Genomic DNA, 27,908 nt, shown 5'->3' with positions numbered 1-27,908 from the left:
GGCGTGGGAAAGAGAGAGGCCTTGTCAGCAGGTGGGGGAGGTAGGAAATGCTGTTCTCCTGTGGGCTGAAGGTCAGTGAAAGGTGAGCTGGGGCTCCTGAGGCCAGCAGGTTCTGGCACAGAAGCAGCCCGGGAGGAAGCTGCCCTGGAATGTGCTGTGGACAGACCTGCGTAGATCCCTTCTTTCCCACGTCCAGGCTGTCCCAGCATCTCTGACCAGGCCAAGGTCACCTAGGCGCAGGCTCTTCTCCTTACCTCACAGACAAAAAGAACTTAGCACTGTAATCTAAGTGTTCCCACTCCTCATTTGAAAAGGGAAGCATTTCATTTTTATGTATGTATGTATGTATGTATGTATGTATGTATGTATTTATTTATTTTGAGAGGGAATCTTGCTCTGTCACCCAGGCTGGAGTGCAGTGGCACGATCTCGGCTCACTACAACCTCTGCCTCTTGGGTTCAAGTGATTCTCCCACCTCAGCCTCCTGAGTAGCTGGGATTACAGGCATGCGCCACGACTCCTGGCTAATTTTTGTATTTTTAGTAGAGATGGGGTTTCACCATGTTGACCAAGCTGGTCTTGAATACCTGACCTCAGGTGATCCACCCACCTTGGCCTCCCAAAGTGCTGGGATTACAGGCATGAGCCACTGTGCCCGGCCTCATTTTTTTTTTTTAATGAATTAAAAAAAAAAAAACTTATGTGGCAGTTGATAAAATAATTATTTTGAAATTAGCCACTTATCTTCTAGAAAAAAAAATGTTTGTTGCTCTTCTGATATTGGTAGGAGTTTCTTCCTCTTCCAAGGTGACTTTTTGGATAACACCCTGAGGGGACTACCCTTCATCCTTTATCTCCATCGCAGCCATTCCAGGCCTTCTGTGACTCCTGGGATAAAATAAACATTAGTGGGCACTGTTCCATTACAGGGTTCCCTTTTGGTGTGTTCCATTGTTATCTCCCCCTCTCCCCCAGGACCTATTCTCCCGGGAAATGATAAACCTGGGGGCTTTAGTGGTGGAGAAGGTCTACAGAGCCCAACCTCAACTTAAAATTTCCCCAGCCTCTTTTGGAAGCCAACTAGGTACCTGATTTTCCTGAGTGGGACACGGCAGCCCCCTGGGTGGTCATAGCACCACAGTATACTGTTTTACTTACCTGTATCTCTTGGCCATGCCAGCAGCAAGAGCCTCTTGGACCTAGAATGACCAAGGACCGTGGCCTGTCTGAGTTTTAACTCTGGATTTAGAAGATTGGGGATCTTGTTTCAGACATTTACTCATCAACAAATACCAAGTTCATTGCAGGTAGGGTTCTTGGAAGGTAAGCTCTGACACGAAGTTGAGTGTGCTGGAGGCTCATACCCACGGGAGGAGGGGAAGGCAGCAGGACTGTGCAGAGGTTGAGTCGTGATGCAGGCTGGATGCAGCCACAGCCAGCCCCAAGAGCACCAAGATGGCCTGCCAGCATTGTGCTGGAATGAGTGCTGGGATGGGCTGACATGGGCCTTTATTCCATCACTCCCATCACTCAGAGGAGGTGGGCTGCCCCTGAAGGGCATGACCTCTGGCCAGGTAGCTCTCTGCAACTGAGCAAGCCCTGAAGAAGCTGCTGACAACCCTCTCACGAGCTGAGCAGCAAGTCCTTCTTGAAGGGGGTCTGTGCCTGTCACAGGATTTTCTCAATGGCTGAGGCACTGTGTTGAAACATGGCAGATCAAGTTGGAAAGGCTTGGTCTCTGTCCATGAAGTGCTTGCAGTGCTGTTGCCCTGACTGCAGTGCGGTGGATGCTATTATGGAGGACTCTTGTGGTGGCTGCTTGGTAGCCCCAGGCAGGCACCAGGTCATTAACAGCCGCGTGAATTCCCTTGTCACTCCTAGGAGATATATACCTGCACCTCTGTTTTGCTGAAGAAGAAAGTGAGGTTCTGAAGTGTTGAGTAGCTCCTAGGGGTAATACGGCCAGCTGGGAAAGATGCCAGGATTCAAACTTAGGTCGGACTCTGAAGGCAGTGTGCTTTCCTTTATTCATAATTGCCTTTGAGATTGAAGGCAGAGCCAACAGGAGCAGGACCATTGTGGGTGTTCAGCAGTGTCCCCTCTCCTACCCTTGCTCATACCCAGTTTTAGCTCTGTGCCTGGACTCTAGCTGTCCCCCGCCAATGGTGCCACAGCTCCATGCCTTTTCTGTGACCTTCACCACTTTCTCTGCCCTTGGGGCTTCCTCTTCCTCTTGACTTTTCTCAGCACTTAGGTGTTGGCCATAACTGTTTTTGGATGACTGCATTGGGTAAGTCCCACCAGTCCTGTGAGATTGCACCTTCCCAAAAGGCAAGGAAGTTGTATGGAAACTGGTTTAGGCCTTGTGTGAGATTCCTTTGCTAACAGTCCAGGAAGCTGTGTCTGGGGCAGCTTCCTTCCCCCAAATATAGATACTTCTCCAAGCTTCCTGTCTGGAATCAGGGTGTTGTGAAATGTGGGCACTCATTCAGTCCTAGGGGTCATGGGGAACCCTACCAGCTTTCCCATTAAACCCAGCTGGTAAAATGGACTCATGTCTGTTTGTTTTTGGGGTTTGTATTCCCTCCTACCTAAAGAAACTGCAAGAGAAGGGATAGAAAAGACCAAGGCATCAGCAAGTCTGTGCCCAGGAGTGCAATAATCCTTGTGTTTACTGGAAGGGGAGGCTGGCATTGAACCCATGTCAAGATAGGTTTGGAGAAAACCCAAAGATGCCAAGGCCTTGCCTTCCATCCCCTGTGATCTACTACTTAATCAAATAGCCAAGGATGTGTTAAGAGGGAGAAATGTGTAAATGTTTAGAGAGCAGTGAGTTGTGAGCTGTAAATGGCCCTGGCATGTTTATAAGAAATGAGCAGGCCAGAAATGAAACCCCAATAGTTTTTTTGTGTGGATAGAATTACCAAACTGATGGATGGAGGGAGTGTTCTGGTTGTTAAATATTTGGGCCTTGGGAGTCTTTTGATGTAGCACCTTGTGACAACTGCTTGCAAAGTGAGCTCAGACTAGCTTAAATTAGCTCAGGCCCACATGTTCGGGAAGGGAGGCTGGAGTAGATTCCCGCCATGGTTGTTTGCAGCTCTCCCTTCTAAGAGTTCAGGACTCTGGTAGTCAGAGCGCCCAGGCTTGGCCAGATCAGGGCACCTGGGGAAGGGTTTGTCTCTGCCTCTTACTACCACATGAAGTACTCAGAGTCTGGGTGATTGTGGACAGGGCTTCAGATCAAGGAAACTTAAGATTCTCAATCAGCCATTGACATATGCCAAGACCAATCAATCTTTTTCATCTCATCTCCCATTATCCACCCTTCCCACAGCCATAACCACCCACTGGTCACTGTGCATGTCTCCCTCCTTTGTCTTCTGGTGTCCCTGCCATGGTTCCTTCAGGCAAAGATGCTTCTTCAACCTATCCCTAAATAATTCTGCTTGAACCTTCAGGGTCAAGCTGAAAGTGGTACCTTTTTCACAGTCTTCCTGGGCCCACCAACTGGAAGCAATCACTGCCTCTACTAAAGTCCACATCAATTAAATAGTCAATTAGATAGATCCAGAGTGAAAATGGAAACCACCTTCTTTTTGCATCAGTGGGATGGATGACTGGAAACATGGATGACCAGACAGGTGAAAAGAAGAATGGAAGGAAACATGAGTGGAAGGACAAACATAGTGTCTCCTCGTTAAAAAAAATACTGTTTCAGCTTTCCTAACCTCACCTGTAATAGAGCTAGGAACAATAGCCCCATCTCATTATGTGAGAATTAAAATACTTAGCCCCAGGTATGAAGCACTGTCCCATTATTGTTGTTATTTTGGAAAATAACTCCGTAAGATGTTCAACCCTATGAGGAAATTATTCTTTTTAAGATTCAGGCTTAAAATCAAATATTCCTGGGGCTTGTAATTTCCCATGCAGACCTACGCCCTCATGTTACTGTTGAAGAAACTGAGTCCAGAAGAGGGGAGGGAGGGACTTGCTCACACTCCCAGAGTTGGTGGCACCTGGGTGGCAAAGTATAATTTTCAAAAAGTTAAAATTGTGACTCATACAAATCTAGAATGTGGACATGTCAAAAATGCATTTAGCTCATTAATGAGGAAACCAACAAGATGGCAGCATGAGTTTACATAGGCACTGGAGGAAGAGTGTTGGAATGAGATTGCTAAATTAGAAACAAAACTGGTTAATGTCCTACACGGGAGTCAATTAATAAACTTTGAGATTATCTTTTCTCCTGAACAGAAAACATTTGTATTTCTACTAGGCAAAATCCTACACATTAATGTGTAACTTCACATAATCTGGCTATTTAGTTGGTAGCAAATATCAAGTCAACAAAGGTACTTACTTTCCTCTAGGTAATTAAATATTTCTTGGGCAGGCTGTTAAACATTGCTCCACAGATGACCTTGAAAGGACATGACACATTTCCATTCCATTGCTTGACCCCTGCTAATAGAACCAAGTCTTCTCACCCAAGCTGCTCCTCTCTTCCTCTTCCATCTCTCTGCTGCATGCAGGGAGCCTGGTGCCTTGCTTCCATTTTCTCATTGGAAAAATGAGGGCCATAATACTTGCCTTCTCCACCAGACTAATTATGTCCAGTTATGACTTGGGGAACCAGGCAAGCGCATGGAAGAAGATCACACAATCCTGGATCCGGAAGACCTTGGCATCCAAGGGAAAAACAGGTGTGGGCAAACAATTGCACCAACATTTGGCAATGGCTGTGGCAGGCAAGAGCAAAGGACTGCGGCGCCTAGAGAGAGGAGTGACTTGGCTGAGTAAAGGAAGAGAAAAAGATTGAGAGAGGAACACTGAACTGGGATTTCCAAGACCCGTAGATCTGTTGGTGAAAAGGGAGAAGGGCATGGTCAGCCTGGTGAACTGCAGATGTTAAGATATAGGGACTAAAAAGTAAGGCACTTTCCATTTAATGTGCATATGCTGAGCTTTTGTTATGTGGCAGGTTCTGTGTTTAGCCCTGGGGAGTGGCAGCGATGGGAACAATCGTGGGCAAAACAGGAAACAAATTCTAGTCCTTTTGGAGTGATTCCAGGAGGATGGGGGTTTGGGTGGATTTGAGAGGGGAACAAGGGAAGTGGAGTGGAGGCAAAAGAGGCTGGAGAGACTGGTCTTGCACTGAGTGATGATATGGTTGATAGCTCCTGACCAAACAATTAATCTTTGTTCAGAACTTTCCCTTTGGAAAGTCTGTGGCTGCCTTCTGGGGAAGGCAAACAAATGTGAACTCAAGAAGTTTACAATTTAGCTAGGGAAACAGGATGTGCAAACAGGAAGAACCAACTATGTGAAGGTAGGTAAGATAACTGTTGACTCCATGCTTTAAGGAAAGGAGAGCTCTTTGTGGCTTGGGTGGTCAGCAAGAATTTTTTAAGCAGAGATACTCTTGATTGGGTTGGATAAATAAAAGAGCAAGGAGGACATTGTAGGAGGGGAATTGCTCCCAGCAGAGCCTAGAAGCAGAGAGATTTTCCAGGGTTCCCAGGAGAAGAGATTGAATAAGTGCAGTGGGCCATGTGGTGACACATCTTGAGTGTCCAGCTGGAGAACTGGAAGTGCATATCATAACAGGGGTGGAAAACTCAGAGGTTGATAGGGAATGGTGAGGTTGCAATGAGGGGACCGGTGGGGACTTTGACCAGTGGAGCAAGAGTCTTTCCAGATGAAGGGAGCAGCTGCCTCACAGCTCTGGCCAGCTGTGGACATTTGGCCAGTTTGTAATTTGTCAAAAGAAGTCAGAAATCTGCATTGTTGTGAAATCTCCAGATTTTTTACATGTTGTCAATTTAATTAAAATATTAAAATCAGCCCAGGGGTCAAGACTGCTGACCCATGCATGGGGCCTGGGGGGAAACTTGTGGGGCTCCAGCTTGTGGCTTCTCTGTTGGCGGTGCAGCTGTTGAAGATTCCTACACACAGGTGCCACAGGGGAAGATGGCACAGGAAAGGAGTGTGGACCTGGAGAATCAAGTAAGGAGCAGGCAGCAACTGAGGCAGGGCCATATGCAACTGTGGCCAGGGGTCACATATCATACTGAGCAGAGTTCACCTTGCCCGAGAACCACAAACCCAGGACAAATAGAAGGGAAACAAAATAAAGGAAAGGGAGCCAGCGTGTCTCGTTCAGTGTTGGGTAAGTAGTATGAATTTGGTTTGTTTTCCTGGCTGTCTTTAAAGAACGCTGGGCGGTGCTAGCCTGTATTTCTGATGAGAGGAAGGGGATTTAACCTGTGGTTCAAGTGCACTTATTTGGATAGCTCAGAGTCTTCATATGGTGTTGTTGTGCAAAGAGCACTGGACTAGAAGTTGGGAGACCTGGATTACAGGAATGACTGGTGTTAGCTGAGTGCCCCACTGTGTATCAGGTATTTTGTGCACATTTTCAGTAATTCTCCAAACAACCCTGTGAAGTAGAGGGCACTGTGACTCTACTTTTTCAAGGTCAAGGTCACAGAGTTGGTCAATGCAAGGCTGGGATTGGAATGAGACTTCAAAGGCCAAGTCTTTTCCAGTAGACCCCGCTACTGCACTGGCCTATGCTGAGTCTCTCCACATGCTCCATGTTACCTGTTGTGTGAACTTGGATAGGTCATCTACCACAGAGGAGCAAGAGGGGAAACTTCTTCAGGGTTTGCTTGGTCCAGTCTCAACATGCTGTGGTTCTGCAGTTGAGATGCATGTTGAAATGCATTTCATTTGTATGTTGACTTTTTTTATTCTAAAGGTCTTTGGATGTTTAATTTCAAACAAAGAGCTAGAGATTGGAGAGGCATCAATCTCAAACAGGCAGCGGCAGGGGTGTTTAGAATGAACTTGACAGCCCTGCAAGAAAAGATGTGTTCTTATCATATGTGGAAGGGCTTTTTTTTTGGTAGGAAATAGGTACTTGGACATGTAAAAATCAGGCATTCCAGCATGGCTGTCCCCAAGGCCCCCACCTGGAGGCTTAGACTGCAGCTTCTGCTGTTTTCATATCTTTCTCCCCTTTTATCCTCTCTGAATGTTTCCAAACCCCCAAAGGACCTGCAACTTTAAAGAGAAATATTATTGATGCAGTTGAATCTATTTTTAGCCTGCTGGGGTTGGTGCACATCCAAAGCAGAAGAATTTGGTTTTATATCTATTTTATCTACATCAACACTTCTTTACCTAAAATCCATTAAAAGATAACAGAAACAGAGCTGACTTCAGACGACATTCAATTGGTTCATATTTTGGGGGGCAATATGTCATGCCCCACCTTGCTGTAGCTGAGACATGCCTTTAACATTTCCAAGGAGCCACAGAAAAAGACATAGAAAACCTTCGATTGCATTTAGAGATTAGAAGAGGATTTTTCTCCTAAATATGGAGCTGTTTCCTTGACTCAGCAGGTATGTGAGATGGATATGAAAGCAAAAGATGTTCCCTTGCCATGAAGCAAGTATTTTTGAGTCATAGATCTTATTGATCAGACTCATTCAATTGGACATTTCTCTTGTGTGCACACATGTTCCCTCTCTCCTCTGTCTCCTCCTGCCTCAGTAACTTGTAGAGAGACTTCCAAAAAGAGAGCAGGTTTTTAGAGTTGAGAGTTAAAACTTCTGGAATGTTGTTCTAGCTCCTGGGGTTGGGCAGGGAAAGGTAATCCTCAAATATAGGTGGGGCCTCAGAGGAAGTTTGGTGAATCTGTCAACTAGAATTTTTTCTTGAAAATTCTCATTGAAGTAACCTCTATCCTCAAAGGATTCCAATATACATCTAGGGTTGAAAAGGAATGAACTGATGGCCTTAATCAGATTGATTTAATGAGCATAGGGCCAGAGCCACAAGAGCCCAGACTGGGTTTAGAGTAGAGGTTCACACATGGCTGCCAGTTAGAATCACCTACAAGACATAGAAAAAATTCCAGCACCTAGGTCCCCCTTCAGAGATTCTTATTCAGTTGGTCTGAGTGAGGTCTAGGCTTCCATATTTTGTAAATCCTCCCAGATGACTTCACTGTCATTTCCACTCTAGAGCTGTGCTTCCCAGACTCTAATGTACAGGGAAATTACCTGGGATTCTTGTTAAGATGCAGATTCTGAGGACCTAGAGAAATGGCAAGACATACCATGTTCATGGACTGGAAGACTCATCCTAGTAATGGTGCCAGCTCACCCCCAGATTTCTCTACAGATTTAATGTAACTCCAACCAAAATCTAAGCAGGACTGTTTGCAGATATAAACAAACCAATTTCTAAAATTTATGTGAAAAGGCAAAGCAACTAGAATAGGTAAAATAATTTTGAAAAAGAAGTGTATATTTGAAGAAATCACCAATCGCCCTACCTGATTTTAACACTTGCTATAAAGCTATAGTAATCAAGACAGTGTCATATTGGCAAAGGGATAGACACATAGATCAATGGAGTAGACTAGAGTCCAAAAATAGACCTACAACAAATATGGTCAATTGCTTTGATAGAGGTACAAAGACAATTCAATGGAGAAGGAGTCTTTTCTACAATGGTCTTGGAACAATTGGACATCCAAGGGCAAATGAAACAAAACAAAACAAAAAGCTCAACCTAAACTTCATGTCTTATACAAAAATTGACTCAAAGTGGATCACAGATATAAGTGTAAAACTATAAAGCTTTGATAAAAACACATAGGAGAAAATCTTTCTGATCTGAACTTAGGTAAGTTAGACATGACCCCAAAAAGATGATTCACAAAAGAAAAATGGATCACTTAGACACGTCAAAATTAGAAACTATTATTCTGTGAAAGATACTATTATGAGAATGAAAAGATAAGCTACATAATGGGAGAGAATACTTAAAAATCACATATATTACAGAAGGCTTTATAGCCAGGATATATAAAGAACTCTCAAAATTCAACAGGAAGAGAACAAGCTACCCAACTGGAAAATGGGCAAAAGACTTGAATAGACACATGATCAAAGAGGATATTTGGATGGCAAATAAGCTCAGAAAAAGAACATCAGCATCTTTAGCCATTAGGGAAATGCAAGTGTAAGCAATGATGAGATGTGAACACACCTATTATAATGGCTGAAATAAAAATACCAACAATACCAAGTAGTGATGAGGATGGGGGGCAACTGGAACTCTCAGACATTACTAATGGGAATGCAAAACAATGTTGCTATTCAGGAAAACAGTTTAGAAGTTTTCTTATAAAATTAAGCATATACTTAGCATATTACCAGAAATTCAATGTCTAGATATTTACCCTAGGGAAATGAAAACTTAAGTTTACAGAAAAAACATTCATATACATGTTTGTAGCATCTCTATTCATAATTACCCAAAACTAGGAAGAATCTCAGTGGGTGAATGGCTAAAACAACTGTGATACATCCTTACCATGAATACATGCAGTAGCAAAAAAGAATGAACTATTGATAAAAGCAACAACTTGGATGAATCTCAACAACATTTTGCTCAATTAAAAAAGCCAGCGTTAATAGGTTACATATTATATCAATTTCATTTATGTTACTTCCTTGGATAGGTAAAACTGTAGTGACAGAGGACAGATTAGTGGTTATTAGTGGGTAGGGGTGATAGGTGTGATCATAAAGGATAATGCAAGATAGTTTTTGGGGCAGAGTTGTTCTGTATCTTGATTATGGTGGTGGCTATACAAATTGACACATATACTAACATTCGTAGAACTTTACACCAAAAATAAAAAATTAAATTTACTGTATAGTAATTTAGAAAATGAAACTTTTGAAAAGTGCAGATTCTTATTCAAGAGGTTTAGCAATGGGGCCTGGGACTCTGCATTTCTTATAAGCTCCTGAGTGATGCTGGGGCTCTTGGGAACACAAGTGGAGGGGGTTAGGCTCTACAGAGGAAACATCGTAACATGCAGATTCAGCTCATTTCATTCCTACGCTGAGAGACCTTTAACGGATCCATAGTTCTTCCAAGATAAAATTCAAATATTTTATCACTTCAAAAAACTTAAAGTAAGCTCTTTCCCCTGAAATCTCCCATATCCCTCAGATCATACCCTACAGCAGTGTATATTCTCTGCTTTGTTTGTGGCCTAGAGTGCTCTCTATCCACCCATTCCCTGGAGGATGAGTGACCCCTTAGTCACTGGCCAGCTTGAAAGGCACCTTCCCAGGGAAGCCATCCCCGACCCTGCCAGTCCCTGACACACCCGTGCGGAATGAGGGTGCACCTTCTAATGCAGTATGCATGCTATTTTGCTCTCATGTTCTTTCACTTTTCAGATGTTTCTCTCCCTAGGAACACAGGCTTTTCAAAGACAAGATCTATGTCTTGTAGGCCCGGTGACCAGCATCATGGCAAATAGTGAGGGTTGCTGAGGAGCTTACAGAATGAAGACAAACTGACTTTATAGAAATAGTGAATGTTTCAGAAGCAGGAAAGTATCCTCTTAGGAACTATGGGGAAAATAATGAAGGACATTCATTGATTTCCAAGAACAGAAGATGCCAGGGAAGGAAAACAGCTTCCTCCACAATCTGTGCTGCCCACTCCATGCAGGAGATAGGGTTCATCCACATTTGTAAAGAACATGTGTGTGTAGAGTGGACTTGTAATGTAAGCATCACTTCCATCACCACCACCATCATATCTCCCCAGTATCACCATCATCTTCACCATTACCACTATGGAACATCAGCAACATTGCTGTCATCATCACTGTCATCACCAACACCACCCTCATACCATCATCATCTCAATCTCTTAATGTTATTGCAATTTGTGTGGTGTAACAAAAATAATAATGACTCCAAAAATGAAATAATAAAAATGTTAAAAAGCACATGTGGCCGGGCGTGGTGGCTCATGCCTGTAATCCCAGCACTTTGGGAGGCTGAGGTGGGCGGATCACCTAAGGTCAGGAGTTTGAGACCAGCCTGGTCAACAAGGTGAAACCCTGTCTCTAATAAAGATACAAAAATTAGCTGGGCATGGTGGCAGGCACCTGTAATCTCAACTACTCCAGGGGCTGAGACAGGAGAATTACTTGAACCTGGGAGGCGGAGGTGGCAGTGAGCTGAGATCGTGCCATTGCACTCCAGCATGGGTGACAAGACAGAAACGTGATCTCAAAAATAGAAAGAAAGGAAGGAAGAAAGAAAGAAAGAGAAAGAGAGAGAGAGAGAAGAAAAGAAAAAGAAAGAAAGAAAGAACATGCATAGTACCTGAGAATTTGCAAAGTGCTTCCTTGGAATTAACTCCAGCTGCATAAGGAGGATGCACTGAATTATTCACCTCACTGCAGTCTGAGTTTTATTCTTTTCTCCAAGCCCTTATATATTATTGTCTTTGGATTTCCTACATTTGTGTGGGGATCTAGGCTGGAATTCTTCTGCCCATCTTGCAGGTAGTATAACTGAGACCCTGGGAGGTTAAGATTATAGAACTTGTTAGTGAAGGATCAAGGAGGAAGATGGTTTCTAAGTAGGGCCCACCAAAGTGCCAGAGATCTCCATGAGAGGTGTGATGAGTGGGCTGAACCATCACAGAGCACAAAGCACAGGAAATCGGTTCTCAGAACTCATTTGGGAAGTCAGCGGCAAGTTCACACACCAAGGTGAAAGCGGCACTATAAAAGGATGGATGGAGGTACAGTAAAGAGGAAGAGGAAGAAAAGAGGAAACAAAACGTGGCCATAAAGTGTAGCTTCTGATACATAGTGAAGGGACAGAAGGTGAATCCTTGTAAAGTGGCTAGCCTGTCGGGAGCCACACTATCACCTGCTCCAAGTTACCCCTCCTCTGCCCCCAACCAAAGAAGATTGTGCATGAGAGTTCTACCATTGATTGAGAGACTCTCTAGGATCATAACATCTGGAATTCAGTCCTGCTTTAGCCATCGTCTATGGTAGTAAGTGATCTTGAAGAAGTCAACTAAAGCCTCCTCTTCAGAAGGTCCCCAGACAAAGTATCTAGGTTGCTGAAGGCTTGGGAGTGGAGGATGCACATGAATTGCCATTGCCTGTCTTGGGTTGGGTTGTGGTACTTTTGAAGGAGACAGTGACAAGGTGGCTTTGTTTCCTAGGGTGGGGTGCTAGAGAGTGAGATTGTGATGCTTGTCATTTGGTCCAATTGCTACTGCTTTCAGTTGAGCACTGGTGAGGAACCTTAGTTGATTCTTCTATGTAAATGGCTCTTGCACCTCAATTTTCTTGGCAATTACTCCCCAGCTGTGCCCTTCTTGCTGCATAAAACCTCAATCAATCCTTCATTAAAATGCTACAGAAACTGAAAGCTTTTCCCCCTTGTTTCCTAATTTTTCCCCGAGTGGATTGGATTTGTTATGACTCAAATGGAAAAGGACTAGCTTTGTAAGCAGGTTCAGATTCTAGCCCGGTTCCTATTTATTTATAGCCCAAATTATTTCAACAACTGCTGTCCAGTAAAAACTCTGTTTAATCAGAGGCAGGTAAACGTGCCAATTTCATCTCATTGCCTAAGTAGTCTCCTCTGCTGTGGAGGAGGAGGATGCCACTCTGGGTCTTGTCCCAGGTGCTGTGGGGCTGGGGACCAAGGCAGTTCTAGACTGGCTACCCATTCAGGCCTGGCCACTCAGGTTGTAGCCACTTGTGTCATTTGGTAGGAAAAGTGAGAAGTTATGAGCCAGAGGTTTCAATTATGGTTTTGCCACTTACTGATTCTATGACTTATAAGGTTACTTAGCTTCTTGGGGTCAGGGTTCACTCATTTAAAAATGGTGATGTTACTAACTACAAATATAAATGAGTTAATGTAAGCCTCCAGTCACAGCTTGGAAGACAGTGTTTTCTTTCTCTTTTTTTCTTTTCTTTTTTCTTTCTTTTTTTTGAGATGGAGCTTTGCTCTGTTACCCAAGCTGGAGTGCAGTGGCACGATCTTGGCTCACTGCAGCCTCTGCCTCTGGGGTTCAAGAGATTGTCCTGCCTCAGCCTCCCAAGTAGCTGAGACTACAGGCACACACCACCATACCTGGCTAATTTTTGTATTTTTAGTAGAGACAGGGTTTTGCTATGTTGGCCAGGCTGGTCTTGAACTCCTGATCTCAGGTAGTCCGCCCACCTTGACCTCCCAAAGTGCTGGGATTACAGGTGTGAGCCACTGCGCCCGGCCGCACAGTGATTTCTTAATTTATGGTTCATGGAGATTATAAAAATTGGCATTTTAATTATAAGTGATTGAATGAAGTCAGACATTGGAGAACTGAATAAATGGACACATTTATTCAACAAAGGTTGTTGAGGATCTGCTAGGTGTCAGGCATTGTGCAAACTGGTCGAGAGAATAAGATATTCTCTCTGGCTTCATAGAGTTTACATGGTCAGAGAGCGAGGACAATAAACACAAAAACATATCGTCATGCATATTGACAAGTCCATTTTAAAAAGAACAGGGAACTATAGGAGAGAAGGGGGCAGGAGTGGGAATAAATTGTACTGGGAAGCAGTCAGGGGAGTTTTTCTTGAGGAGGCAACATTTGAGCTGAGACCAGAAAAGGGAGCAGGAATTAACTGGACAAAGACGGGGAGGAGTGTATGTCTCACTACAAAGCAAGAAAGAGCTACGCACAGTCAAGGAAGGAGAAGTGAAGCCAGGGAGTCTGAATTGGATGGCCAAGCCAGTGACTGGCATGAAGGAGGCTGGAGAGGAGGGCAAGAGCATGTGGGCTTTGTGTGCCAGAGAAAGTATTTTACATTTTTGCATAGGCACCATGGAAGTGTTTTAAGCAAGGAAGTAATGTAATTCTATTTACTAGGACTAGATGAAGTTGAATTGAATAAAAGGTTACTAAGGGTGCAAATGCCATTTTTATGGGAAGAGCTTATGCACTCACCCTGAGGGCTGGCATAAGGCAGGAGTGGCATTGAGTGTCCTTGGCTGTTCCTGGCTTTGGTCCCTGCTGTGTGCTGCAGCCTCAGTGGCTGCAGATTCTGCCCATCTAAAGCCATGGACTTTCCCATGACCAGGGCCCATTTTGCCTTTGGGTCTGAGAATCCCCAGGAGTGGGAATCCAGAAGATGTCAGCTCTGTGGCCTGAACTGGAATTCCAACTGGATCATTTCATTCCACTATTGATTGGAAGAGGAACAGTAAAGCTGTGGTGTTAGCTGGAGTAAACTGGAGTTGAGAAACTCACTGTGTATTTTTCAGAAAAAAAAAATAATAATAATTCTTAACAATCTCAAACTACTCTCAATATTGTAAGTCACCTTGACAGCACGAGGACTTGAATGGTTTGCCTGGAGGGCTAACGATCTTGGCTCTCCCAGGTGCCTGTCCGCATTGGGAGACGGCGCAAGCTAAGCCAGCTGTGCATCTCTCCTATTATATCATGGACCAGGGGACCATAGACATTTTGAAAGGGAATGTATCTGCCTCTCTCACACTTCAGCCTGCTTGTGGGATGGCTTGGCCCAGACAGCAGCAGGCACTATGTCTTTTCTAAATGTTCTGCCTCTTGATATAAGCAAGCGGTCCGTGAAGAGATTTATCAGAGGCCCTTGTGATGGATACATGTCTTCTTATAAGCTGATAGTCCAGGGGAGACTCCTAAACAACAAAGGGAACTGAAGGCAGACTGGCAGCAATTCTAGTGTCCTACAAGGCTGTGGCTTGTCCTGTGAGCTGGACGGCGGGGTCTGAGGCAGGACGTCAGGCAGGGCCATGCTGAGAGCATTTCACATTTATTGAAAGCCTGCTGTCCTCTGGGCACTGTGTTTTCCTCTTGCCATTCCATTTATCCCTCCCAGTCATGCTCCGCTTTATGGATGGAGCAGTTGAGGCTCAGAGGGGTTACATAAAGCACCCAAAGACATATGGGCAGGAAGTGACACAACCTGGATTTGAATGCAAATCTTTCTGGCTGTTTCCATATTGTCTCACAGCCTATCCCAGCATCGTGTGTGTGTGTGTGTGGGGTGGGGGGGGTGGGGGGGGATAGGGGGTGGGGGCTGGTGGTATTTAGGGATGCCCTCTTCTTAAGGATGTGTCCTGGGGCTAAGTCATTGTTCTTGGGGGTGCAGGGAAGGGACAATGGATCGGAAGGGTCTCAGTTTGCCTCTGGCCTGTCAGTGGGCCACCCTCCTCTCCTCTGTGATGCAGGGGCAGTGTGGCTGCCTTGCCAGCCTGCCCTCCTCCAGCCTGCTGGGAGCCTCGCGTGAGACAACCGATCTGGAAGCCCCTTAGGGAGGACACAGCGCAGGAGAGGCAGCTGAGGCTCTAAGGACAGCTGCTATCAACTGCCAGCAGCCACTGAGGGAGACCCTGGGCCTGGCATGGCTACAAATGGGCTCAGCTCCAAGGGAACAGAGAATTGGGCCACATTTGTCTGGGCTGGGTCAGAAATGGCAGTTCCTGAGCCCATATCACCAGCTCCCATTTGCAAGGCTGAGGAGGTGCCTGGGCTTGCTGTGTGCTGCCTTGCTTTCGTTCCCGCTTTTTAAGGCACATATCAGCCTGGGCAGCTCTTGACCCACAAGGTGGACTCTTCTGGGCCAGCCACGGGCAGTGGCCACCCTGTCCTGCCAGGCCGCAGAAAGGCCCTGGGCCACTCCCAACTGGAGCCAGTGCTCCTGGAGAGAGCAGTGACCTGGACCAGCAGACCTATGGATCCCCTCTTGCTCCTGCACTCGCCTGCTCCTTGCAGTGACTCGGCAGTGGGAGTGGGAGGTGTCAGAGCAATTAGGCGGAAACTCCTTTCGTGCACCTCTAATTTTCGAGCTCTCTGAATCTCATTAGTTCCCGGGCTTTTCTGCTCTGCCCTCCTGTTCTTTGCTTGCAGAAAATCCAGGGGGCAGCCAGTCACCCTGTTGCTGGCGGTGATGATGAGACCCCAGGCCAGTGGCACAGAGGCCTCCTGGGAGGAAGTCCCTGTTTGGGCGCCCAGCACTGTTCAGGGCCTCCTCTAGTCTTGTTCTACTTTAGGCCTTACCTTCTCATTTCTGTTGCTGGAGCAAAAGGCTCTGAATTCAGAGTTGGGAATTCTCAGGCCTGGTCTGAGATTTGTCTGCCCCAATGATGATGATGATGACGATGACGATCATGATAATACTACACTAATAGTAGTTAAGAGTTACCAATTGCCTATTCTGTACTAGGAGCAATTTAGACCTCATCACATGTAATTCTAACAACATCCCCGCAAGACAAGCATTATAGTCCTTTCATAGATGAGAACATCTGTGCTTAGAGAGATTAAGTAACTTTCAGACTCAAACAGCTGGATGGTGACTGAGCTGAGGTTTGTACCCATGTCTTGATGACTAAGCCCAGCTGTGCCCACCGGGACACCTTGACCTAGTACTTCTGAGAGCCCCAGGGTCACTATTCAGAGGCTCCCAGAGCTGCCAGTACCCCAGATCATTGCGGCTCCCTCATCCTGGCAGTGAGGAGGCTCAGGCCTCCGTGCTAGTGCCCCACTCCTTGATTCTACCCGTCCCTCCCTCCCTGTGGCCTGCAGAGATTCCGACTGCTGCTTTGTTTCACCCAGAGCACCTCTTCTGGGCTGAGTGCTGTGGAAAGGGCCAGGTAGGAAAGGAGATTTAAAGTAGCTTGACTCAGTTTCTCCCCTGAGTTTCCCTTTGGAGACCCGAGAAACACATCTGGGAAGTGAATGGGAAGATGAGAAGAAGTAAGCAAAACTGGGAAGAGTGAAGGCCTTGGAAGTGCAGAGGATGCCGGTCGTCCCAGGTGCTCCGGGGAGTATTTCTGTTTAGAGTGGCATGTGGAGGGAGTGCTCTCCTGGTACAGCAGGCGTCCAGGCAGAGTGAGACTCTGCTAGACTCAACTCTTTCTTCTTCTCTGAAGGAATCAGAGACTGAAACAAGGATGGCTTCATCAGTTTGGCCATAGCCTGGAAAGACTGGGAAACCCAGCAGCTCTCTGGCCCCTGGGCTCACAGACGACATAGTTCTTGGAAGCTGTCATCCCTGCCTGTGATGACTGACCTGCCTCTTGCCAGGCTTCCATCCTTGCTTCAAGGCCTGCTAATCATCAGCTCCACTGGGAGATCTTTGCAGGCTGCCCTGGAATCATAGCTCCAGGCCTTTGTTCTAGAACATCTGTTGCATTGTATTGTACCTATTGCTTTATATATTTTTCTTCCTTTTCTCCAAGACAAGAATGTGCACTCATTCAAGCCTGGGATGGGCTCTTCTTATGTGCATATTCAGTTCCAAGAAATATTTAAACTATCACTAGTGTAATTCAGCATCCATAATGAGTTTATACTCTTGTGTATTGAAATCAGATGACTTTCCTGTCTTTGTGGTTCATATTATTAATATTCTTCTTATCGCTTTGCTCTGCTTAGTTCTTTTTTTATACATCTTTGCCTCTCACCCCCATTTTCTGCCTTGGCATTCGTTTGTTCTTTCAGCGAATGTCCACTGGGCACCTACTGTGTGCCAGGCACTGTTCTAGGTGCTGGGGATACAGAAATGAACAGGAAAATTGATTGGCTTATTTATTTGAAAAACACAGAATTAGGGTTGACTCAGGGTGAAGCTTGATCCACTGGCTCAACAGTGTCACCCCCAGAGCTCCCATCTCCGTGGGCACTCACCCTGTGGGTTAACTGGGTCTTTGGGGCGCCATTTCCTGGACATGCCTCAAGACTTCCCTGAATGAGTGGTTCATCTGGTAATGAATGAGGCCACACAGGCTCCCTTATACTTGTCCCTGGCGTGGGAGCTGCCTTCTAAGGTTTCATAATGAGAACATGCTTTTTTAGGGGAGCAGGTGTGTGGTAGACTCTGGACTCCTACGCTGCTGTCTTCTGATTATTCCCAGAGAACTGCACCTCTCCGCTCTGGTTGGGCTGAGGCTGTTTTTGTCACCCCACAGGCCTGTGTTGTTTGTTCATAAAGCAGAGAGACATCTGTCATCCTCACTGAGCCCGACAGATGCCACATTCAAAGACCCAGCACATGCAGCAGCAGCGGTGGCAGCACTGTCATTGCGGCGCTCACACACACATACCGACACACTCGTTTCTTCTTCCTGGCGGACAAACCTTCCTGCCCCTCCCCGCCAACACATGCTTCCACACCTATGAGATTCAAAATAGGGTAACAGCAGAACTGCAGGCCTGAAGCACTTGCTGGACAGTGAGGACACCTCTGGGTTGAGGGGACAGGGTTAAATGGGGTAGAACAGGAAGAATATTCCTCCTCCTGGGTGTGAACGAGTCTCCTTTGATCTCTGCAGGAAGTGCCTTACCCAGGCCCTGTTACCTTTAGGAGCAAGAACTTGAGGAAATGGTGTGGGCACATGCACAAAACATGGGGCTTACTTTTAGCATGAAGGGGAAACTGAGGATGCCCAGCTCATTGTGTAAGAGAGTGAAGGTTTGACCGAGGGTGGCTTCTAAAGCAAAACTTAGACAGATGACGACAGGGATGAGGTGGCAGGATCCGAAGACAAAGAAGAACCAGGCACGGATTCACTCGTACTTGTAGGAGGACCTTGGACATGTTTTATGTAATACAGAACATTTCCTCTTTTAGGATTGTAAGTAATATCATGGTAGATGTTACTGGAAATTTTATCACTCCCACCCTGTGGGTCTTAGCAGGAATCATCCTGAATGGTGTTTGTGGACTTGTTTTGGAGAAGTCTGTGTTGAGGGCAGGGGTGGTAGGACTTTGTGTTCAACTTGGCAGGCTCCTGGAGGGAGAGAGTGGTCTGGGACAGGCGTTAGAGGGTCAGGCCCTCTGGGCTTAAAAGAGAAAAAGGAAGAGGGGAATGTCTTGGAGAAGGAGGGGCCAATCACTTGTTAGGTCCTAGGCAGTGTCTTGGTGCCATGTATTAGAAGGGAGGTGGAGGGAGTGGGGAGGTATCAGCCTGTAGATAACATCCTGTTCTAATGGGTGGGTGTGAGAAGGTGGGGGAGATGCTTTGAGACATATTTAATAATATCTACTACAGATAAGTCAGTGAATCCCACTCTTTACCATGTAGGCTTATCAAAGACCACTAGCAGAAAAAGACTGGTCTAATCCTGAGAGTTTCCTTGGAGGACTTCCTCTTAGTGTAGCCCCACCTAAGGCTCTGGGATGTTGGAGAACAGCCGGAGAGAGAGGACCAGTTCTGTGGCTCTCAGCTAGGTTGCAGGAGTCTTGGGGGTGGGACGGAGGATTCTCAGCTGATTTTCCCTGCTTTTCCTTAACATCCCCCACTGCTTGAAGGAGCTGTTCCACTTGCATCTTTTTCTTATATTGTGCTTTGGCTCAAATATTTATCTGGAAAAAGTCCTCAAGAACTAAAACCTTTCTTTGTATCTTGAATCAGATCATTTGCAAGTTCCCTCTGACTGTAAGCTGATTTTGTGACTTGGTGTTCCCGAGACCCCCAGTCCACTTCATCTCATCTTTGATTTTTAAGCCATTCTGTCTTTCTTAAGCTGACATTTGAATTCCTAGGTGGTTCTTTCTGCATTTCACCAGCTTACAGTTGTGACTCATCCTCCTCATGTTGTTTTAAGTCATGAAGAGAATCTGAATCCAGCAGGAAAACTGAGAGCCATCTTCATAACAGTGAAAGTTTCTGGAATCTATAAAACATCAATTTGTATGTAGAAACTGAAGTTTAAGAAAGACAAGCTTTTCTCTTAATTTAAATTATTGCGTCTCATGGGAAATTTAATTTTTTAAATAAATCACATATTCCAATGAAGCAGAAAGCTTTGCTAGATACACAGTGAAGATGTTTGCTTTAAAAATTGTTCTTTATTCAGCTAGAGAGGAACCAGGGGAATACAGGAAGATAAAAAGTGCTGAATGGAATATACAAGACAAGGTTTTGAAATCAAGGCTAAATTAATCATCTCTCCCTTTCAGTGGGCTATATCTAAGCAGAGGCTGGCAGATACTCTCTGACTGTCAGATTTGACTATGTTATTCTCTACCAGAGGATGCTACCAGAATGACTGTCCCAGGGTCCATGGGTGCCAGGATCTGTTAACTGATGGCAATCTTCACCTGAGGAACTGCATGTATCTTCAGGGATCTCTTGCATGCAAGTGAGACAACTATGGTTCAAGCTGCTTAAGAACCAAAAAAATGGGGATGGGAATTTGATGGCTTGGGTAACTGAAAAGCTTAGGGTTAGGCTTCTCTTCAGGCTTAGCTGATTCCAGGCAATCAAATGATGTTCTTCAGTCTCTTGCTGTCACTGGTTCACTCATTTCTTTTTCCATCTCTTACCTCTGCTTTCTTCTGTGTTGGTTTTATACTTGGGCAGCCTTCTTTTATGTGGATTTCCGTAACAGAATCAAATGCATATCATATTGGCTTCTTACCTTTGGCTTTCAATAGAAAGATAGATTCTCTTTTATATATAGACATACAGTAGTTCCAGCAAAAGTCCTAGAACTCACTCTCATTGGATCAGGTTGGTTGGCATGTTGCTTCTGAACCAATCACCACAGCCAGGAAGATAGGTCTCATAGTCTTACTGAGCAAACCTGGGTGGATATCACTCCTGGAGATGGAAGGTGGAGGTGGGCGCATTCTTAAAACAGAGGGATTGAGAGTGGGGAATAGGGCATACCAGAAGGGGCAATGAATGCTAGTCAGGTAAAGATAATAGCTATCCACTATGATATGGTTTGGTTGGGTAGACTTGAGGGACCAGACCTGGGGTGACCCATGTTTGCCCAGCTGATCCCATTGGGTGATTTCTTCCTGTTTGATTTCCTGCAAGGTACCTCAGTTGTTGGCATGATTCTCCTGCCATCTTGCTCCTGGATGTTGAAAGGCCACACGGTGTCTAATTTACCAACACAGACCTGATCTAGAAGGCAAAGACAAGTTCTATGCCCACACTTTTCCAACTGTAGAGTTAAGAAGTTATTTCTATCCTCCAGGCTTAATTTTTGGCTATCAATATTGAGCTAAAGACTATTGAAGATTTACAAAATTATGTATCAATTTAATTTTACTATAATTAAACACATTTTAGTGAAATTCCTGTAGCTTCCGTTATTGATATTTTTCACAACAATCCTCTGACATATACAATTAGCCCTATTTTACAGGAGAGAAAACAGGGTCAGAATGGTAGAGAACTTGTTAAAGGCCATGCAACCTGGAGAATCCAGCATCTATGTGCTTGTGCTGGGTTTGATGCATTTAGGGATGAATAAGACATTCTCTGCCCTTGAGCTGTATGTAATTGCTCTGTGTTTATAGTTACATAAAAGAATGAGTAATATGCCTCTATGGAAGTAAAACAGAAGGAAGTGATTAATTTTACGTAAATGTAGTCTAGGAGACAGAAGGGACATTAGAGATGGGTCTTGATGAGTGAGTAGGAGTTTCCCACGTGGATATTGTGTACAGGGGGTCGTTTTTTCACTGAGTAATGCGTGAGTTTTCTATGAGATGGAGCTGCCAGTTTCAGGAAATGTAATGTCACCCTTGACTCTGCCTTCTCCTTTTACCAGAAGGATGGCCACAGAGATCTACATTAGTATTAGTTAGGTGCTTTCATTTGCAAAGACTAGAACTCCTAACACAAATAGGCTTAAATAATAAAGGGCATGTATTGTCTTATCTAATTGAAAAGCACAGAATTAGGGCTGACTTAAGGCCAAACTTGATCTGTTGGCTCAACAATATCACCAAGGATCTGGCTTCTTTCCATCTCTCCGTTCTGTCTTATGCTATCTTTCATATCCTTTGGTGTCTTTATCAAAGGCTGGCACCTTTTAGGCCCTAATATGACTGAAGGAGCTCCTGGGGCTAGATGCTTCCTTCATCATGCCCAACAGGAAGGAAATGGCATCGTTTCCAGGCACTTTCAGCAAGACCTGAGAGTCACTCTGATTGGACTGGCTTAGGTCACATGCCCATCCCTGAACCCATCACTGCTGCCACGGAACAGAGAACATTGATAAAGTTGATTTCCCTGAAGCCACATGGATCCCCAAATGGAATTTTGCAGACTGATGGAAGGAGGAAGTGGACAACGGATGCTATATTAGTCCGTTTTCACACTGCTGATAAAGACATACCTGAGACTGTGAAGAAAAAGAGGTTAAATTGGACTTACAGTTCCACATGGCTGGGGAGGCCTCAGAATCACAGTGGGAGGTGAAAGGCACTTCTTTACCTGACAGCAGCAAGATAAAAATGAGGAGGATGCAAAAGTGGAAACCCCTGATAAAACCATCAGATCTCATGAGATTTATTCGCTACCACGAGAACAGTATGGGGGAAACCACCCCGTGATTCAGATTATCTCCCACGGAATCCCTCCCACAATACGTGGGAATTATGGGAATACAATTCAAGATGAGATTTGGGTGGGGACACAGAGCCAAACCATATCAAATGCTCAGAAGGCATATGTTTTGGTAAGGCATCAAAGAAATGTTTACCAGAGCACTGAAGTTTCCATAGTCTCTCTTTTTTGGGCAGTAAAGGTTCTATATAGCTCCAAGACATAATCTTTGATGCTCAGTCTATGACAACTCAAATTCTAGGCCTTTCCTTGGATAATTCAGCCACTGAACTACCTTTTGCTTCCCTCTGTAGTCTCTTCTTAGTTAGTACTCTGGACAAACTTGCTTTGACTTTGTCCAAAGACACCCATTCTTTATTAGTATATGACGAATTTTGTGGACAGAGAAGAGTGCTATGGGCATGATGGCATACTTACCACACAGAATGATCTAGAACTTTGTAGCAACTAATGTCCTAGGCCTTTTCCAGAGCTGCTTTCTTCAAATGGGGCAACAGACGTGATGCCGCATTTTCTAAAGCTCTTCCCAACCTCCAAAACAGCTTCTTTTCTTTCTGCTGAGGAAGCTAAATTTACTTTCAGTCCTCAAATGGTGAAAAAAAGGGGAGCCTCCCCAGATGTCTCACACTGATAAGAGGAAGAAATATCCAAAGCCATTAGCCAGTGGTGACAAACAGTGTGTGAATTGTAACGGACGCAGGGTGGCTGAAGAAAAGACTGAGTGGTTGGAGACAGGCAGGCAGGCCTGAGTTTCAAATCCTTACCCTGTCACTTTCAGCACTTTGGGATGCTGAGGCAGGCAGATCACGAGGTCAAGAGATCGAGACCATCGTGCCATCATGGCCAACATGGTGAAACCCTGTCTCTACTAAAAATACAAAAATTAGCTGGGTGTGGTGGCACGCATCTGTAGTCCCAGCTACTTGGGAGGCTGAGGCAGGAGAATCGCTTGAACCCAGGAGGCGGAGGTTGCAGTTAGCCGAGATTGCACCACTCACTGAACTCCAGCCTGGGTGACAGAACAAGACTCCATCCCCACCCCTCCACCCCCACCACCCCCCCCCCCAAAAAAAGAGGCAGGATGCCATGGGGTTGAAGAAAACAGGCCCTGTAGCCAGGCTGCCTGAGTCTGAATCCTGGCTCTACTGTTCACCAACTGTGCCTGCGTTCATGTCCCAGCTCTTCCATTGACTAAGCCTGGATCAAGAAATAATCCCTGAGTTCTAATCTGTCATTCAGGTAATTGCGTTCTTATGTTTCCTTTTGTCATTTGGCCTTCCAACTTAGTTGGGATGATGGTGGCTGTCACTTTATCTCTTTGGCCTCAATTGTTTCATCTGTAAAATATTGATACAAGTAATGTCCACATTATAGGTTGTTGTAAGGATTAATCCTCATTTAACTCATTTACAAATTTTATGCATTATATATGTATATATTATATATACCTTCATATATATGGAAAACACTTGTAACAGCATCTAGTAAGCACGAATGATGTGGATAGATAGACATATCTTATAGGGTTGCTGTAAGCCCTAGAGACTTTGCATATATATTGTCTGGCAATAGCAGACACTGAATAAATCTTAGCTATTATTAATAATTATTATGTTGATTGAACTGTTTAATAATAATGTGATTCATCTAAATAGAGCTTTATAGTTTCTGGAGTTCTTGCTGCCAATATGATCCTTCTTGAGCCCTACAACCACTCAGTGATGGGGCTCCTATTCCTCTGTCCAGTGGCTCTCAGGGAAGGGTTGGATGCCTCTCCAGGGTCTCCTGGCCAGGTGGTCATTAGCAGGACCAGGGTGTGAATCATAGTGAGGAGCTTCCCAGTCCAGGGCTTGTTCCACATCCTCTCTTCCCCCATTCTAAAGGCCTCCCAGCCATTTGTCACAGCCTCATTTGAAATGCCTGTGCTTCTCATCTGTAATATCCTGATTGTCCCATTAATCTCCTTTAAGCTTCATGAAAAATACAAGGGGCTGGATCAGGAAATAGCCACCAAGTTCTAATTTTGCATTCAGGGGATTGTCTTCCATGGACGTGAAGAGACTGATGTTTCCCATTTGGCCTTTGCCTTTCCAACTAAGTCGGGGAGAGCTGTCATTTTCTGAATTATCAACCAGTTTACAAGGTGGCATCTATATTTTGCCTCTAATGTGTCTGTACTTTTGTTGCTTCTCTATCTTCATATCATCCTCTCCCTAGTAGATGTTCTACAGTACTGCCCAGAGGGAGTGGTAAGAAATGTCTTTTGATAAAACCTTAAAAGCTTAAAACTTCCAGTCACTTTCTTTTGCATATTCCTTAGACCCTGGCCATAGGCCAGTGCTCACTACAGAAGGAGCAGTGTTTGTTTTGTTAACACACACACACAAACACACACACACACACACACACACACACCCTGTACTGCAAGATCCTAAATTTTAGACTTAGTTCACTGTTTTATATGGTAGCCACTAGACACGAGTGGTTGTTTAAGTTTAAATGAAATTACAGGTTCAGTTTCTCTTTGCATTAGCCACCTTTTGAGTACTCAATAGCCATGTGTGGTTAGTGGCTACCATATTGGGCAGCACAGATAGAGAACATTTCCATCAATCACAAAGTCATATGGGACAACATTTACCATAAAGGGGAAAGGGAACGGGAATGGGCACATGAGTGTAGTGTTCAGTTAAGTAGCATCACGGGACAACAGATGTGAAGTAGTCCTCTTAACTCTCTGCATGTATTTCCTCTGTGATTTCCAAAGGACCACTAACCAGGAGAAATAAGAAACTGTTGTTTTCTGACCCAACACCAGCATGCAATGAAAGTAGGATATTTTTCATTCTATAGAGAACCGTCAATGTGTATTTTGTTATCTGATTTGAACCCTGCACGCGGACAGCACATTTCACGTGTTTTAGCCCATTTGTGGCTGGCACAGGTGTGGCCAGAAAGCCAGCATAGGATCTTGTTTGTGTTTAAGAGAGAAGTTCAGGGAGACTATTCAGGCACATTGTCTGGCAAGTCTAGCACTGGTCAAACCCTCATAAATATTCCTGTCCAATCTGAACTTGAAATGTTCTTGTTGTGGACACCTTTGGTGAGCCAGTCTACTTGAGGACAATCCAGTCTACTAGTTTAGCTTCAAAAAGCATGCACTAGAAACAATTAGAAGAACAGGGTTGCTTTTAAAGCTATCAGGATGGTGTTTGCTGTTGTTTTGTTGTTAAATATCAATGGGTTACTCAATGGTAATAGATCTAAAGAGATGAACATTGTTACATGAATATTGCAAGAAATTTGTGGATCTCTTGGGGACCCTCCAGACCTAGTTTTGAGAATGACTCATATAAACAATTTGCAGAGTCTAATTCATATACTCAGACTAGGGTTCTGAATTCTTTTCCCCCTGGGAGGAAGGAAAAACAGAGGATAACATTGGTTATCTGGGGTAATAAGAAAGCAAGGGGCAGACTACAGCTGCCCTAAGATCTGAGATCTGAGTGACAGAGCCTAGTTCAGGGAGGGGCTGACATGCTGCTGAAATGGGCTTATCCAGCCACACTCAGAGCTCTAGTGAGTATCAGGGTCATTGTGTTCTAAATCATCTGTGGCCAGCTTACCAAATAGGCTGGAGTCTGGCAGAGAATATCTATAGAATTTTCCACAAATCAGAAATTCTGGTTTCCAGAAGGATAAACTTCCCCAAATATCCTGGTGGTCTTGAGTTAATTGTGGCTTCCTGGGAGTTTCTGTCGTTGGTAAGGGTCACATTTTCATTGTCCCTTGACCTTTAGTCTTCTCAGAGTTGACTGGTAACATTAAAATGAGCATGTCTTCACTTCTGTCACTTACAAAGCTCTTAAAAAATTTATAATACTTTAAACATATCACAGTAATAAAAGCAATCGTATCTCTTTACATTGTTGCAGTCTTTTGGATAAAGTCCCCTGAAAGCATTGTCCTGGTGGTTTTCAAACTTTTTTCTTTGATCTTTCAGAATCTTTGTTCAAATGACATCTTGGCTAGACTCCAACATATAGCACAGATAAAAATGGAGTTGGGACTGCAGGGAGAGAAAGGGTGGAGCCCAGCTCACTGGACCTCTGCCTCCACCCCCAAACCACCCTCTAGCCTTTGAGTCAACCACTGAGTCACCGGTGAGCAATCCCTGTGGTTGCCCAGAGCATCATCCCACTAAGTCCTCATAATCACCAGGCATGATTGTGAGGTCATCACAGTGAATTGGTGCACCCCTGGAGGTAGGAAGGCAGCTGAAGAGGGGAGAGAGACACCCTCCCCACCCCCATATGAGGATGGTCTGTGATGATATGCATGCAGGGGAAGGGACTTATCCAAGGTCCCTGATAGATAGGGACTGGAATTTTGGCAGTGTCTTTTCTAGAGTAGAACAAATTTATCAGTTGAATTTGCTGTAGTTCTCTGAAGGTTTCTTTGGCCACATTAGAATTTTTGAGCCCTGGCATCCAAGTAGGCCAACTTCAAAATGGCTGTGTGCTCCACTCAGAGATTCTGCTGTGAAGACTGGCAGGAGATTTTTTAGCCTATTCTGAACTCCAACTGTTCCAGTTCCTCTTGCTTTCCAGAGGTGTGAGCACCTGGAAGCCCCTGCTCTGGTCTACACCCCAGGCTCAAGATTCATCCTGCTCACTCAGCCACTCATGCTGTCACCAGTGATAAAACTGTAAGTGTCAGCAGTTGCATTTGATTCTTGCACAAGAAATAGTTACCCTCTAAAGACTTGTTCATTCTTGTGCCTGTAAAGTGTGGTGTGCCCTATGCATCAGTATTCTTGCCTATGAAATGGGCATGTAGGCTGGGCACAGTGGATCATGCTTATAATCCCAGCACTTTGGGAGGCCGTGGCTGGTGGATCACCTGAGGTGAGGAGTTTGTGACTGGCCTGGCCAACATGGTGAAACCCCATCTCTATTAAAAATACAAAAATTAGCCGGGTGTGGTGGCAGGCGCCTGTAGTCCCAGCTACTCGGGAGGCTGAAGCAGGAGAATCGCTTGAGCCTGGGAGGCAGAGGTTGCGGTGAGCCAAGCCGAGATCGTACCACTATACTCCAGGCTGGGTGACAGAGCGAGACTCTGTCTCAAAAAATAAAAGAAGAAATGGGCATATAAATAGATCTACATAAGACTCACTGGAAGTTTAGAGCTCTTTAAAAAAATGGACAACAAAAAGTTTTTCCAAATAAATGTTGATTCTGGGCCTGGAAAGTTTGAGTGGCTGGCTTCTCAGAGACAGTTACTACCATCCATGCTCTTTAAAGTTCCATTGCTCTTATTCTAACCTTGAAATCAAAGAAACCAAAGCTGTGGTTTCTTGTCTGACCTTGGCTAATGATTTTCTGATTGACTCTACATGCAAAAGAACTGCTGATAAGTTTCTTATAGGGGAGAAAAGATGATGGGGAGAAAAGGAACTGAGTTCATTTCCTAACCTCAGTTTCCCTGCTTACTCACCCAGTGGGTTGGGAGCCACTTGCTGGGTCTGAGTTTCCATAATCACCATAGAAATGGAAGTAATATTATCCTTTTGCCCAGTCGATGGGAGGATGGAGGAATGTCTTAGTCTGTTTGGCCTGCTGTAACAA

General features: G+C 44.8%; 1 protein-coding gene and 1 long non-coding RNA gene across 56 annotated transcripts in view, besides 2 other annotated features; one reads left to right on the top strand and one right to left on the bottom strand.

Annotated features, from left to right (window-relative positions):
* KCNMA1 (potassium calcium-activated channel subfamily M alpha 1) overlaps positions 1-27,908 on the top strand; it is a 768,207-nt gene that overhangs the window by 260,491 nt on the left and 479,808 nt on the right. The window contains exon 1 of one of the 55 annotated variants that reach the window (NM_001322838.2): positions 26,557-26,989. The exons of the other annotated variants lie outside the window; for them this stretch is intronic. The gene's annotated coding sequence lies outside the window, so the exon portion shown is untranslated. Of the gene's footprint in view, positions 1-26,556; positions 26,990-27,908 lie in introns of those variants that run through there. 55 annotated transcript variants of the gene reach the window in all.
* Positions 245-1,444: an enhancer, noted in NCBI's record as "BRD4-independent group 4 enhancer chr10:79135632-79136831 (GRCh37/hg19 assembly coordinates)". NCBI's record gives its function as "activates an origin of replication core promoter dependent on BRD2, P300/CBP, MED14 and CDK7 cofactors, and independent of BRD4, by STARR-seq in HCT116 cells {active_cell/tissue: HCT116}" and the evidence as "EXISTENCE:reporter gene assay evidence [ECO:0000049][PMID:35650434]".
* KCNMA1-AS3 (KCNMA1 antisense RNA 3) lies at positions 705-26,446 on the bottom strand. The gene is made up of 6 exons (NR_126365.1): positions 25,908-26,446; positions 22,699-22,908; positions 22,090-22,149; positions 4,371-4,471; positions 3,483-3,621; positions 705-889 (listed from the first exon to the last, which is right to left on the bottom strand). It is a non-coding gene; the product is annotated as a KCNMA1 antisense RNA 3 (long non-coding RNA).
* Positions 25,845-27,044: an enhancer, noted in NCBI's record as "P300/CBP strongly-dependent group 1 enhancer chr10:79110032-79111231 (GRCh37/hg19 assembly coordinates)". NCBI's record gives its function as "activates an origin of replication core promoter dependent on BRD2, BRD4, P300/CBP, MED14 and CDK7 cofactors, with strong dependence on P300/CBP, by STARR-seq in HCT116 cells {active_cell/tissue: HCT116}" and the evidence as "EXISTENCE:reporter gene assay evidence [ECO:0000049][PMID:35650434]".

Source organism: Homo sapiens, chromosome 10, assembly GCF_000001405.40.
Source record: "Homo sapiens chromosome 10, GRCh38.p14 Primary Assembly".
Lineage (NCBI taxonomy): Eukaryota > Metazoa > Chordata > Mammalia > Primates > Hominidae > Homo > Homo sapiens.
This window is presented reverse-complemented; position numbering and strand designations above follow the sequence as displayed.